Source organism: Homo sapiens, chromosome 3, assembly GCF_000001405.40.
Source record: "Homo sapiens chromosome 3, GRCh38.p14 Primary Assembly".
NCBI classification, from domain to species: Eukaryota; Metazoa; Chordata; class Mammalia; order Primates; family Hominidae; genus Homo; species Homo sapiens.
In genome coordinates, this window is record NC_000003.12 from 40,196,930 (window position 1) to 40,209,640 (window position 12,711).

At 39.6% G+C, this 12,711-nt stretch overlaps 1 protein-coding gene, 1 long non-coding RNA gene and 1 pseudogene across 8 annotated transcripts in view; 2 read left to right on the forward strand and 1 right to left on the reverse strand.

Annotated features, from left to right (window-relative positions):
* MYRIP (myosin VIIA and Rab interacting protein) overlaps window positions 1-12,711 on the forward strand; it is a 451,408-nt gene that overhangs the window by 388,016 nt on the left and 50,681 nt on the right. The window lies entirely within an intron of this gene.
* Window positions 1-12,711, reverse strand: part of EIF1B-AS1 (EIF1B antisense RNA 1) — a 136,554-nt gene that overhangs the window by 23,785 nt on the left and 100,058 nt on the right. The gene's annotated exons all lie outside the window — the stretch shown is intronic.
* Window positions 12,076-12,375, forward strand: RN7SL411P (RNA, 7SL, cytoplasmic 411, pseudogene; annotated as a pseudogene).

Consider the following 12,711-nt stretch of genomic DNA (forward strand, 5'->3'; position numbering starts at 1 on the left):
GGATTAGCAGCAGACAAAGCCAGCTGAAAGCAGGAGTCCTTTCTCACATTCTCTACCTTATCCCTGGCCTCACTCACTTGACACATACCTTTGCACGCTGAGCCTCTATGCCAGGGGTCCCCAGCCTTTTTGGCACCAGGGACCAGTTTTGTGGAAGACAGTTTTTCTATGGATTGCGGCAGGTCGTGGGAGGTGAGGGATGGTTTCGGGATGAAACTGTTCCACCTCAGGTCATCAGGCATTAGTTAGATTCTCATAACGAGTGCACAAGTCTCGTCCCTCACATGTGCAGTTCACAATAGGGTTCGCGCTACTCTGAGAATCTAATGCCACCCCGATCTGACAGGAGGTGGAACTCAGGTGGTAATGCTGGCTCACCTGCTGCCCACCTCCTGCTGCACAGGCTGGTTCCTAACAGACCAATGACCAGTACCAGTCCATGGCCCCTGAGTTGGGGACCCCCTGCTCTATGCAATCCATAACATAAACCGCTGAACACACTCTTCTGTCCTCCTAAACCCAACCCCCTGATGGACATAGATGGGCTAAAACCCCATCTCTTTTGAATATTAATTCTGCTGTTGCAGAATTAATGCAAGTGTAATTCTGTAAGTCTAGACTTCAAATGCAGGTCTATGTCTGCTTCTGTGTTTTCAGTTTTTCTGCAGTCTTTTGTCTTATCTCCCCATTTCACCTTATCCTGTAGTCTTTTAGTGTAAGTGCTGAACTCTTATAGCTTTTTACACCTCTTAATTGAAAATCTGTATTATTACTCTCTAATGAGAATGCAAAACTGCTATCAGACACTGTGTCCTGGTTGTTAGTAAAATTCACATGATGCCTTCAGGCTAACTTGTTTCCTTCTCTCTGCAGTATTTTTCCATGGGTTCCACATTAACTTTTCCTGTTAGCAGTTCTTAGATGAGGATAATGCTATTCCCACTCTCATTGTTTGCCAATATCTAATGCCCACAAATAATTTCCACTCTGCTAGCTTAAGATAGGGGATTTTTGTTATATACTTACTGCCTCGCATTATGCTTCTCTGATCAGATGGCTAAGAACCTAGCCACAGTATTGAATACAGAGATAATGAATGAATGAATTAGAAAGAACAGACACCATCACACACTTTGCATGGTTTTTGTAGTCTCTACCCCAGGGCTTACGCTTTATCACTACACCTCCCAGGATGCAACATGGTACCATGGCTAGTTCTTCCTCCTACCCACCTAAATATTTTAGACTAAATACATTTTCAAAGTAGCTATAAAACAGGGAAGCACCGAGGGCAGTTGGAAGTGAGCTTCTCCTCGGATGCTTAAAAAGTCCCACTGCCACAATAGAAGGCTCAACTGTTGTGTTTTTGTTTGTTTGGTGTTTGTTTTGCTTTGTTTTATGGTGAGCATTTATCTTAATATTTCTGGACCAAGATTGGAGGTTGAGAGAATACTGGGAGGAGGGTCAACAATTATTGTGACTACTTAGAAAAGGTAGAGAGTGAATGGATCTCCAGATGCACTCGTGAGCCTTATATTTAATAAAAAAAATTTCGCCATTCATTTACTGGCAACAAACAGACTTCGATTGCCTTTTAGTGTTGTGGGTTTTCATCTTTTTCTGTATCTTCCCACACAGTTTTGGTGGAAATTTTGTGTGAAAGATGTTTGCCAGATACCATTTTGAAATGGAAACCTGCTGATTTTTTGTTGATTGAGACTTCAGGATCACAGGAGGCTGTTATTTTAATTTCCTCCAATGTTTCATTTTTGGTTATACTCATTAGTGAAACTTGTTTTCTTGGGGTAAACTTTCTCCTGCCTAGCATTCTAGGTTCTAATTATTCTTTAAAAATATGGTAAGAGTCTTGCCATAGTGAGAAACTACCAGTTCTTTATAACTAACCATCTGTAAATATTCATTTATTTAATAGGTGTATGCCTTGCTCCAGAAATAATTTAAAGTGGCTTACATAAATATGAACAGGAGAAAATAAAATAAAAACATAACGATGAAAAGGAGGACAAAGGGAAAACCAGAGTAGGAAAGATAAGATGAAGCCAGGAGTAATGATAGTTCACAAAATTGATGGAATGAATCTTAGGCAAGAGATACCAAAAATTTGTCTCTGAGTTACTAGAGGACAATAAAAGGAGAGTGACATGAGCAGCTCCTGAAGTCATGGAAGCTCTAGTAGAACAATAAATCCATTCCTTAAAGGATGCTGCTTTCGGAGCTGAAATCCAAGAGAAACTCATCCTGTGGATCCTTGTGGAGAGGATGGAGACCACAGCAGCCCCTGCTCTAAACTACTCCCATGGATTCACACTCTGGGGGTTGCTTCTCATAATGTCACTCAATGTTGGCCAATCCTTCACAGCAGGCACTGTTCAATTAAGTCAGGCTGATGAGGGGCCAAAATGCACTGACCTCTGCTGTCCGGGCTGCTCCAGGATTAAGTGTGGGCATATGGAGAGCAGTGGAAGGCTGCCTCCCCACAGCTCCCCTCCCTGTTTTGTGAGTGTTGTGGAGCTCTGCATTCGAGGGGATGCTCTCTGACAAGTGCTTGTGAGGCATGCATGTTGGCAGTAAGCTGAGTTGGAGGTAGTAGTGACACTCCCCTGAGAACACTGGGGCTCCAGAAGGTTCGCCTGCCTCTGAAGTGTACCAAGACAATATCCCCAGGCAAGGCCTTAAAATCTACTCAGAACTGTATTGGAATTATTTCCCGTACACAGACGAAAGGGTAATCATTCCCCTCTGCCCTTCAATTCTCCACCCTGATTTTCAAATCTTTTTAGGCATAGAGGATTCCCTTAAATGAAATCTAAAGGGAAGGCAGCAGAGTGCACTTTCACTTGTACCAAAGGTTGTATCTCCCACAAAAATAAAAATAAAGAGAAGACAAATCATAATATGGCTGAAAGCAGAGCTGCTCTGAGGCACAGTTGCTCCCCCATTCCTCGCCACTTACCTCCACGTCCACAGCAGCCCAGCAAGCACAAACAATAGCCTGGAAGGACTTTAGAGCAGGTGTGACCAAATACCCCTCAGAAGAAAAATCTTAGTCACATGTCTGTCAACTGATTCCCCTGGAGAAAAAGAATTGCTAGAAGTGCCTTCCAAGATAAACTCGTTGCAGAGAACATGTCTAGAAAATGAGACATTTGCTGAAAAATGGTGCCTCTTACATTTTCTTTTTATCATAGGCCCTTTTGAGGACCTAATGGGTACACTAGGTCAGGGTATCCAATCTTTTGGCTTCCCTGGGCCACAGTGGAAGAAGAAGAATTGTCTTGGGTCACACATAATATGCTAACGATAGCTGATGAGCTAAAAGAAAAATCGCAAAAAAAAATTTTGTTATGTTTTAAGAAAGTTTATGAATTTGTGTTGGGCTCAATTCAAAGTCCTCTTGGGCCACATGGGGCACGGGTTGAATAAGCTTGCTCTAGGTCTTCTCTCTAGGGAGGAAAAAAATGTGCATAAATCCAACAAAGTTTTATATTCAATCTTGGGGAGTATTGGGAGCCTGTCTGGAGCCTCTCTATATAGGATTTTTAAATAGGAGTCTGTTGGATATTAAGGATTATCCACTGAAAATGATCACTTTATTGTAGCAATAGTTAAATTATTTGGGGCCTTCTTTTAGGTAGATATTAAATAGCAGGGCTAACTATCAACTATGGCTTTTACTTGTATGTAGCAATAAAACCATGTCAATTCCATGAAAGAAAATGTTGAGTTCTCTATTCCATATGGCAGGGACCCAAGCCCAGCTCATTCAAATGGATAGCAAGTCATTCAGAGCCAATGCAGAGAAAGGGGTCTAGAGCACACTCAGTCCCTTCACCCCAACCCCTGCCCTGCGTGTCATCACGTGATTGCCAGGAAATCCTCCTGCTGACCCTGACTCTCACACTGGCATTAAGGCCCAGGTTCTGAATCACCACCAAAATCCATGGATCCTATAACTTAGTCTATGCCTATCACAATCCTGAGTCAAAGAAAAAACGAAAGTGAAACCCACTGTTAGTGCTGCTTTATTCCTAACAGATTTCTCTGCAAAGCGACAGAACAGTTGTGGCCAGTATGAAAATATTGTGTCTTAATTATGCCTAATGTTCCATTATTGGAACGCTAAGCATGTGGGAGTTATTTATCTGACTGCTCAAGGTCATCGCCAAGGTCTGATTGCAAAAATTCAAAAAAATTGCAAACTCAGGCATAAATTGGTTAAATTTGTTCATTCCTCATGTAAACATTCACCTGAAAAGCCCAGGCTAGCAATTTTCCAGATATTCTATATGGAATTGCCATAATTCTGGGGAATAAGTGGTTGCCCTTTCAACAAATAGCATAGTCTAATTCCATCAGATAGGAGATTAGTAATGAGAAAACACACAGAGGAGGGGTGGATACCAAGTCAGGAGGTTTTGGTTCCTAGAGTGGGAGATGTGCTCCAGGTTAGATTCAGACTTGTTTTTTAAATCAATGTAATATGAAGGACTCAGAAATCATGGAATCTATATACCAAGGCAACTGATCTGTAATAATAAAAGCTAAAAAAATAAGCCTTCCAGATGACATCCTGGTGCTAAGATTTCATAACATCCTTCACCAAATTCATCACCAGGTAGTTAGTCCCCATACCTTCTGTGCAATTCCACCAACCAGGCAGGTCCTTCCACATGATGGGTTCTCCATGAGAGAACCTTGAGAGACTCTCTTTGAGGCAATAGGAAATGTATTATAATATTAATTTCTATGAGATTCCAGATGGTGTCTTTCCATTTCCACTGTGTGACACTGACCAAGGGTTTGGTGTATATTTGTGTATGTGTCTGGGTGCTGTTATCACACCAATTATGAGGAAAACAAATGCCTTATTCACAGCATGTGAATAAAACTAGTTTTAGGTGAACAGCAATGCATTGGAAAAGGGAAAACTTCTACCTTTAGACACCAGGGACAGAAACGTTCCAAGTCCTCTGGGAGAGACAGATCAGCAGCAGAGTCCAGCAGCCCCACGGCTCATCCACTTGCCTCCACCCTCTGAACAGCTGTGCCAAAGGATTGGCAAGGAAAACTATGTACATTTGCCACACTGAGTGCCCTAGAGTCGTTTAACCTATAAGCTGGAGCTTTTCTCTGAAGTCTACTAAAATAAAATCTAAAAGCAAGCTGCAGAAACTTTGTTTTTTAGGTCAGGTTCAGTATCTTTCATCAACAGGAATGAGGAGAGCCACCAGGACATAAGGATATATTCAACAAATGTTAACATGTGACTGTTGAAAGTTATCCTTTATCTGGACTCTTTTTTAAAAGGTGGAGAAAGCCCAGAGCCTAGCCTGCCCTTTGCCTCCTGAAACAACCTGGCAGGTGAAAGATAGCCTCTATGAAAAACTTTTTCTCAGACTGGGGTTGCTTTTATAAGGAAGATGATGAGGCTAAATAGGAGAAAAAAATGTTTTTAATTACGGTAGGCTGGATTTCAATGTGCGCAGATCACTGGGGTTACTGAGGTAAACACAGTGTTCTAAGGAAATCTCAGGGTATTCATCTCCAGAAAGAATTCTAGAAAAATTATCTTCTCACTCCTTTAAGCCCTTTTGTGAAAAAAGAGGTTAAACCCCTTGCCTCTTGGGTTCTCCCCCTGCTTTGTGGCTCTGCTGTTTTCCTTTTAGTGAGCACGGTTTAATTTGGAGCATCCAGTCTTGTTTTGGTGTAAGAGAAGAGCTTGGCCTTCAGGGTCAGGTCACCTTCAGCTCAACCATCCACTAGTGTGACCTTGGGCAGTGCACTCAGCCTTTGTCTTCATCAATACAGAGTTCCAGAACTGCTGGGATGTTTGAATGCAACATCCCGTGCACAGTGCCCTGTAGAGTGTGCACCCAAACAGTGTGCTCAGCAGTGAGAAATGTCTCGTACCTTCTTCCCCCACCACTCATATCCCCATCACCTCACCTCCATTTACTTATTTATTTATTTATTTATTTATTTATTTATTTATTTATTTGAGACTGAGTTTTGCTCTGTCGCCAGGCTGGAGTGCAGTGGTGCAATGTCGGCTCACTGCAATCTCCACCTCCCAGGTTCAAGCGATTCTCCTGCCTCAGCCTCCAGAGTAGCTGGGATTACAGGTGCATACAACCACACCCAGCTAATTTTTTTATATTTTTAGTAAAGACAGGGTTTCACCATGCTGGCCAGGATGGTCTTGATCTCTTGACCTCATAATCTGCCCACCTCAGCCTCCCAAAGTGCTGGGATTACAGGTGTGAGTCACTGCGCCTGGCTCTTCTCCATTTATTTCTATCCTTGTGTTTCTTAAGCTGAAGAATTCAATAAATTCCTCAAGAATTTTTAGAAGACCTCCAGTTTGAGAAAATATGCATTAAACTTTAAATACTGTCAATTTAAGAAAAATGTTGGCACCACCCTAAATATAAATGCGGATATAAGAATGGAGAGCTTACACACATGGCAGCACCCAGCTGTGGGGCTGAGGCCCAGGTAATCCAGAACATACCTCTTTTTTAGGTGATCAATGAGATGAAAACCAAAATGTAAGGTTATTGTAAAGAACTTGCACACCACTGAAAACATATTAGAAGACTCTTGTTTAAGAAACTATATTGGCTTATCTTAGGAGTATTCTATCGTTAAGTGTTTAAAGATATGACTTTCTGTTTAGCCAGGGTCTCCAAGTTCCATATAAATATATATATATTTATATATTTTTATATTTTTATATATATTTATATTTTTATATTTTATATATTTTTATATATTTATATATATTTATATTTTATATATATTTATATATATTTATATATTTTTATATATTTATTTATTTATATATTTATTTATTTATATATATTTATATTTATATATTTATATATATTTATTTATTTATTTATATTTTTATATATATTTATATATTTATATATTTATATATATTTATTTATATAAATATATATTATTTATATAAATATAATATAATATATATTATATATATTATATATTATATACATTATATATATTATATATAATATATATTATATATATTATATATTATATATAATATATATTATATATATTATATATTATATATAATATATTTATATATAATAAATATTATATAATATATTTATATATTATATAATATATTATATAATATATAAATATAGAGTATTATATAATATATTATATAATATATAAATATATAATATAATATTTATATATTATATAATATATAAATATTATATTATATATTTATATATTATATATAAATATATATATATTTTTTTTTTTTGAGACAGAGTCTCACTCTGTCACCCAGGCTGGAGTGCAGTGGTACGAGCTCAGCTCACTTCAACCTCCATCTCCTGGGTTCAAGTGAGCACATCCAGCTAATTTTTGTATTTTTAGTAGAGACAGGGTTTTGCCATTTTGGCCAGGCTGGCCTCAAACTCCTGACCTCAAATGATCCACCCGCCTCAGCCTCCCAAAGTGCTGGGATTACAGGCCTGAACCACCACGCCTGGCCACACACTACATTTAAGTGTGCAAGGAAGAGGCAACGTTTTGTTCCTTAGTAACTGCCTTAAACTTCTCCATTAGCCTCCCCATTCTGAGTAGCTAGGAATGTAAATCAACCGATTCAAAGAAAACTTGGCCTCTTGTGATTTAAATTATTTTCCTTTTTCTTTCCATTTAAACCCGCCTTTCCTAGGTAAATAATCAGTCCTCCAAACCCTCCACTTTCTCTGCCTTCACTGTCTTGGAGAGCATATTGGGGAGCTTGTAGGGTCCTCATGGCTGCAGGGCATCTTAGAGCTAGATGGTGTCCTCTGGGTCCTTGCAGGACTCTGCAGTGATGGGGACCCTGCTCGTCAGGTCATTTCTCTGCCTCACTGGCATCTGCTGCCAATGTCTAAGACTTGGGAACCTTGGTCTGTTCCCTGTCCTGCTCCAATAGAAGCCAGCACCCCTTCCACGGGCACCAGAGTGGCTCTCACACATGTCAGCTACCTGTCCCTGGCTGTCCAATCCCAGGACAGCTACTTTATTACAATGTCACCAGCAATCTTCTATGACCCTGCTTCTGGGTGCCCTCTATGCCACACAGGTGCCAGGAAGGACCCTGGAGCCCCCCTTCGGCCTCCCTTGGAAGCCTCTCATCAGGGGTGATTGCACTCTGATTCTGCTGCCCCATATCATCATGAGGTGGGGGGTCAGAGGTCACAGGCATCCTGCAAGGCTGCTTCTCTCTGGATTTCAATAGAAGGAGAAGTGAAATTCGTCTTTTGAACAGATTCATCTCTAGAAACCCTCTGTCCATGTTCACAAAATCTGTCTTTTGAGCCTTTTGTTACCCTAAAGAGCTAATGGAGTGAACTGATCAATGATCTTTTGGTTCTGGATCTACATTCACCTTCCCTGGCGTAAAATGCTTATGGTTTAGCCTAAGAAAATGAGGACACAAGGGAATGCAGTTTTAATGGGAAATGAAAAGCACTGCTTTCTTGTTTTCAAAATAATGGTCCCATTACACGTACAAATATCGATTTATAAGGTGGGGAGTTTGAGACACCACACCAGTGGGCAAGCAACTCTGATTTTCAGATTACTTAAAATGTTTTGTACCCAGATACAGACATTGCTCATAGTTATCCAGTTTGCCCATAAGGAATTTCATTCTTTCCCACCGCCTCCCACCCTCCCTGCAAAAGCTCCTCAGGATTCTCCACTGAGTTCATAATCTTCTCTGTGATCTGCTTATGTCCCTCACTGTCCAACACAGTGAGTATGTTTGGTGTTTCAGTGAAGTTGTTGTGATAATCAGGGTCCCTTTGAAGTAGAAGAGCATTTTTTTTTTGGCTGAAGACTCAGCAGCACCCTTATTTTCTCTAAATTCTGGTTCCCAACTGGCTTTAAACACAAACCTCCTTACTGCTCCTTTCTCTGAATTCAACTGTAAGCTTCCCATTTCCTGTTCAATCAACACGTACCCCTCTATTGTTGTCTTACTAGGAAGTAGATTTATTCTTATCAGTATTTCTTAGCCGTTTGGAGGCATGGACCCCTGTGAAAATCTAATGAAAACTAATAATGCTCATCCTAGAAAAGTGTGCGTGCATACCAAAGTTTGTGAACAATATCAGGGGTCCACAGAGGCCCATCCATGGACTCCATATCAGCCAAGATCCCAACTTAGCATTTATTGTCTCAGCTATCATGAAAATTAAAATCAGCTCATGGGGGGAAATATGTGTGAGTTGATAACATAGGGCAGGGATTGCTTAACCCTTTGCAGGCTAAAAATACCTATTTTTCTCTGGAGATGTAAATATTTGTTAATCTACTTGATGAATATTATATGGCCAAATAATACTGTTATTTTTGAAGTTCTTGTGGCTTTTAATAATGGTGCTTCCAGTTATGCTCATGGTATCATCTGGGCATCAGATCTGTGTGCATACGATTTGTCTTTCTGTGAACTCAAGAACCATCACTTAGCATTATGATTCTTGCTGCTCCAATAAAACTTGTATGTCTTGATAATCTTTAGGATTCCATTCTTTAAGATTTGCTCAGTTATCTATTCTAATTCCCCTTCCTGACAATATCCACCTCAACCAACCAGATGAGGGCCCTTCCTCTGAGTCTCATCAAAACCTTACATGTGGTTATTCTGTTCCCCAGTGTGTTACAATTGTCTGGTTCAATGTTCCTCTCTCCACCACACCGTCAACTCCAGTAGGGCAGGAACAGTGTCACTCTCACCTTTGAGCCCCAGTAAAGCACAGTGCTCAGCACATAGTAGGTGCTCAACATGTGTTTGCTGGATGTAGACTGAATCACAGCAATTCTTCATAATTTCTCATGTGATAAATAGACATGAAACGTGGACAAATCATGTTAAGCAGGTTTCATCTTTTGGGTTAACTATTTTAGCCTTGTAAATTAGTCTTTCATTGTCTGTATATTCAAGCAATAATTGAGCCAAAGCTTAATATTAATAAAAGTAAACTAGAGTTAAGATAAATTGACAGTTCCATGTGTAGAGATGATAAGAGAAGGTCACCATGGCTGAGTTTGTAACTAGTTGCTGACTTCCTGCATAATTTAGTGCATACTACAACAGTAGCAGAAAATCTATTTGATAGTTAAAGTCCTATTCCTTAGACTGGTGTTTAACGCTCTGCAGACTGACCCAGGCCTGATTTTTCCATACCACCTGGCTCCCCACTCTCTCCACTTCTGAACCTTATCCCTCAAACTATGCAAGCAGCTTCATGCACCCTGGGTCCTATTGGTCTTGCTGCTTCTACATCAAGAATGCCTGTCCCATGACGACATATTAAAATGTCCCTCATATTTTGAGAACCTGCTCAGAGGTCATTCTTCCTGTGGACCACCTGCACATCCCAGGCAAAGGAATTCCCCTTTCTCAAACATGCTAGGAGCACAGGTTACTTCACATGAGTCCCTCATCACTGATTTTCACTCAGGACCAGAAAAAAAAATAGTCACTTCCAATAGATGTTTTTCTCTTAATTATTCAGTGATATTTTTCATTTCTATGTCATCTGTTTTCTTCTAATCACCTTTGGATAGATGTCTCCCTTTAGAATTTATCCAATTACAAACTGTCTCAAGTAAAATTGATACACAAACAAAGTATGAAAGAACATGTCACATATCTTTTTAAAAAAGCAAGATATCCAGATTATTGTTGCAAAATGTTGTGTGATGAAGTCCTTCCTGCTGAATGAGTAACTGGATGAAAAGACCATACTTCTTTTTCATCCTTACTAATATTGTTGATAATATTTACTCATCAATTCTTGAGCTTGAGAAAATTCACCTAGGACACTGTCATCTGAAGACTCTTAGTCTGAGATTTCAATAATATAACCAATTTCACCATTATTGTTAGAATCTAGAGACCTGCTGTCCTCTTTGAATTCATCTTTTGAGTCATCTAGTGATTGTGAAATGTTGTTCTCTGTCAGTTTTTGGAATTTTCAATTGTATGCAGTGAAAGCTAAAAGCAGATTCAAAATAGTGATGATTTATGTCACTATTGAATCATCCTTCTAGGCAATTTCATTATTCTATTTATTTTTTCATCTTTCTTTAGCATAATTGGGAATAATTGGTGAGTAATGATGAGAAATAATTCCCTGGATGATGAAATAGCAAAATGTTTCAAAAGATAGGAAAAATAAGATCACAAAGATCCCATGATGTATCTTAGATTTATAAAAAGGTCAAGTGAACCCATATGGTAATTGTAATGAGTTATATTTTATTTAAAACATAAGTAAGTTCTCTTCTTGTTCTTCAGAAGCCCTCTAAGAGAATAAAAGTTATAAAATATCAAACCGTACAAATACATAAAACAACTCCAAGAGGAAACTCAAAAAGTAAAATTGGGTCCAGTGACCCCGATGGTATGCCATATTATGTACATATGAACACTTCAACACACATCTGTCTAACTGAAGGCCAAGAATAGAGTAAGAGTCACACTCTCTATGTCTTCCTGGAGTTCCCCAAGCCTGGTAAAGGGTTTACTCACAGAAGGAGTTTAGGAGATATTCAGCAAGTGGAGAGTTGGAGCAGGAGATATAATTATTAAGGGAATGTCAAACAATATTCCTTACATATGTGCAAGGTCCTTGTACCATCTCAAAATCTTGGCCCTTTGCCTAGAATATTGTTCTTCCCTCTCTTCCTTTTAGCTGGTTGACTGTTAACTTTGAATCTCAACTCAGAGTCCCTTCCGCAGGGAAGTTTTCCCTAATCCTCAACCCCTCCCATCAAGTGCTTATTTATGGGCTGTGAGAATCCCTTCCCTTCCCCACATCCCAGCCACAAACATCATCTTCTCTGCATTGAACCACCATGAAAAGTTAGTACTCATTAGCCAATGCCTCTTCCTCTCCATTCCCACCCTATTGGTTACTGGTTACAAAAATACAGTCAGATAGAAGGAATGAGTTCTTATGTTAGATAGCACAGTAAGAGAACTGTAGTTAACATAATTTATTGTTTATTTGGGCTGCGCATGGTGGCATGTGTCTGTAGTCCCAGCTACTTGGAAGACTAAGGCAAAGAGAATCGCTTGAGCCTAGGAGCTCTGGGCTGTAATGTGCTGTGCTGGTTGGGTGTCTGCACTAAGTTTGGCGTCAATATGGTGACCTCCCGGGAGCGGGAGACCACCAGATTGCCTGAGGAGGGGTGAACTAGCCCAGACTGGAAACAAAGCAGCTCCAAGCTCCCATGCTAATCAGTGATGGGATTATGTCTGTGAATAGCTACTGCACTCCAGCCTGGGCAACACAATGAGACCCTGTCTCTAAAAATAATAATTTATTGTATATTTGGAATGTTCTCAACACAAAGAAATGATAAATGTTTGAAGTGATGGATATCTTAATTATCCTGATTTGATCATTACACAATGTAGGCATGTATCAGATATCACATGTATCCTATAAATATGTACAATTATTAGGTATCAATTTTTAAAAGTGAATATGGAAAGTTTTAGTGTGTCTCATTCATTACAGGGCTGGCCCAGGCAAGGGCTGGTCAGGTTCTCCAAGCATCCTTTGCACCAGCACAGTGCTGCCCATGGTAGGAGCTCAGAGAGTAGTCTGTGAATGAAAAAAAAAAAGAATTCAAACACTTTTT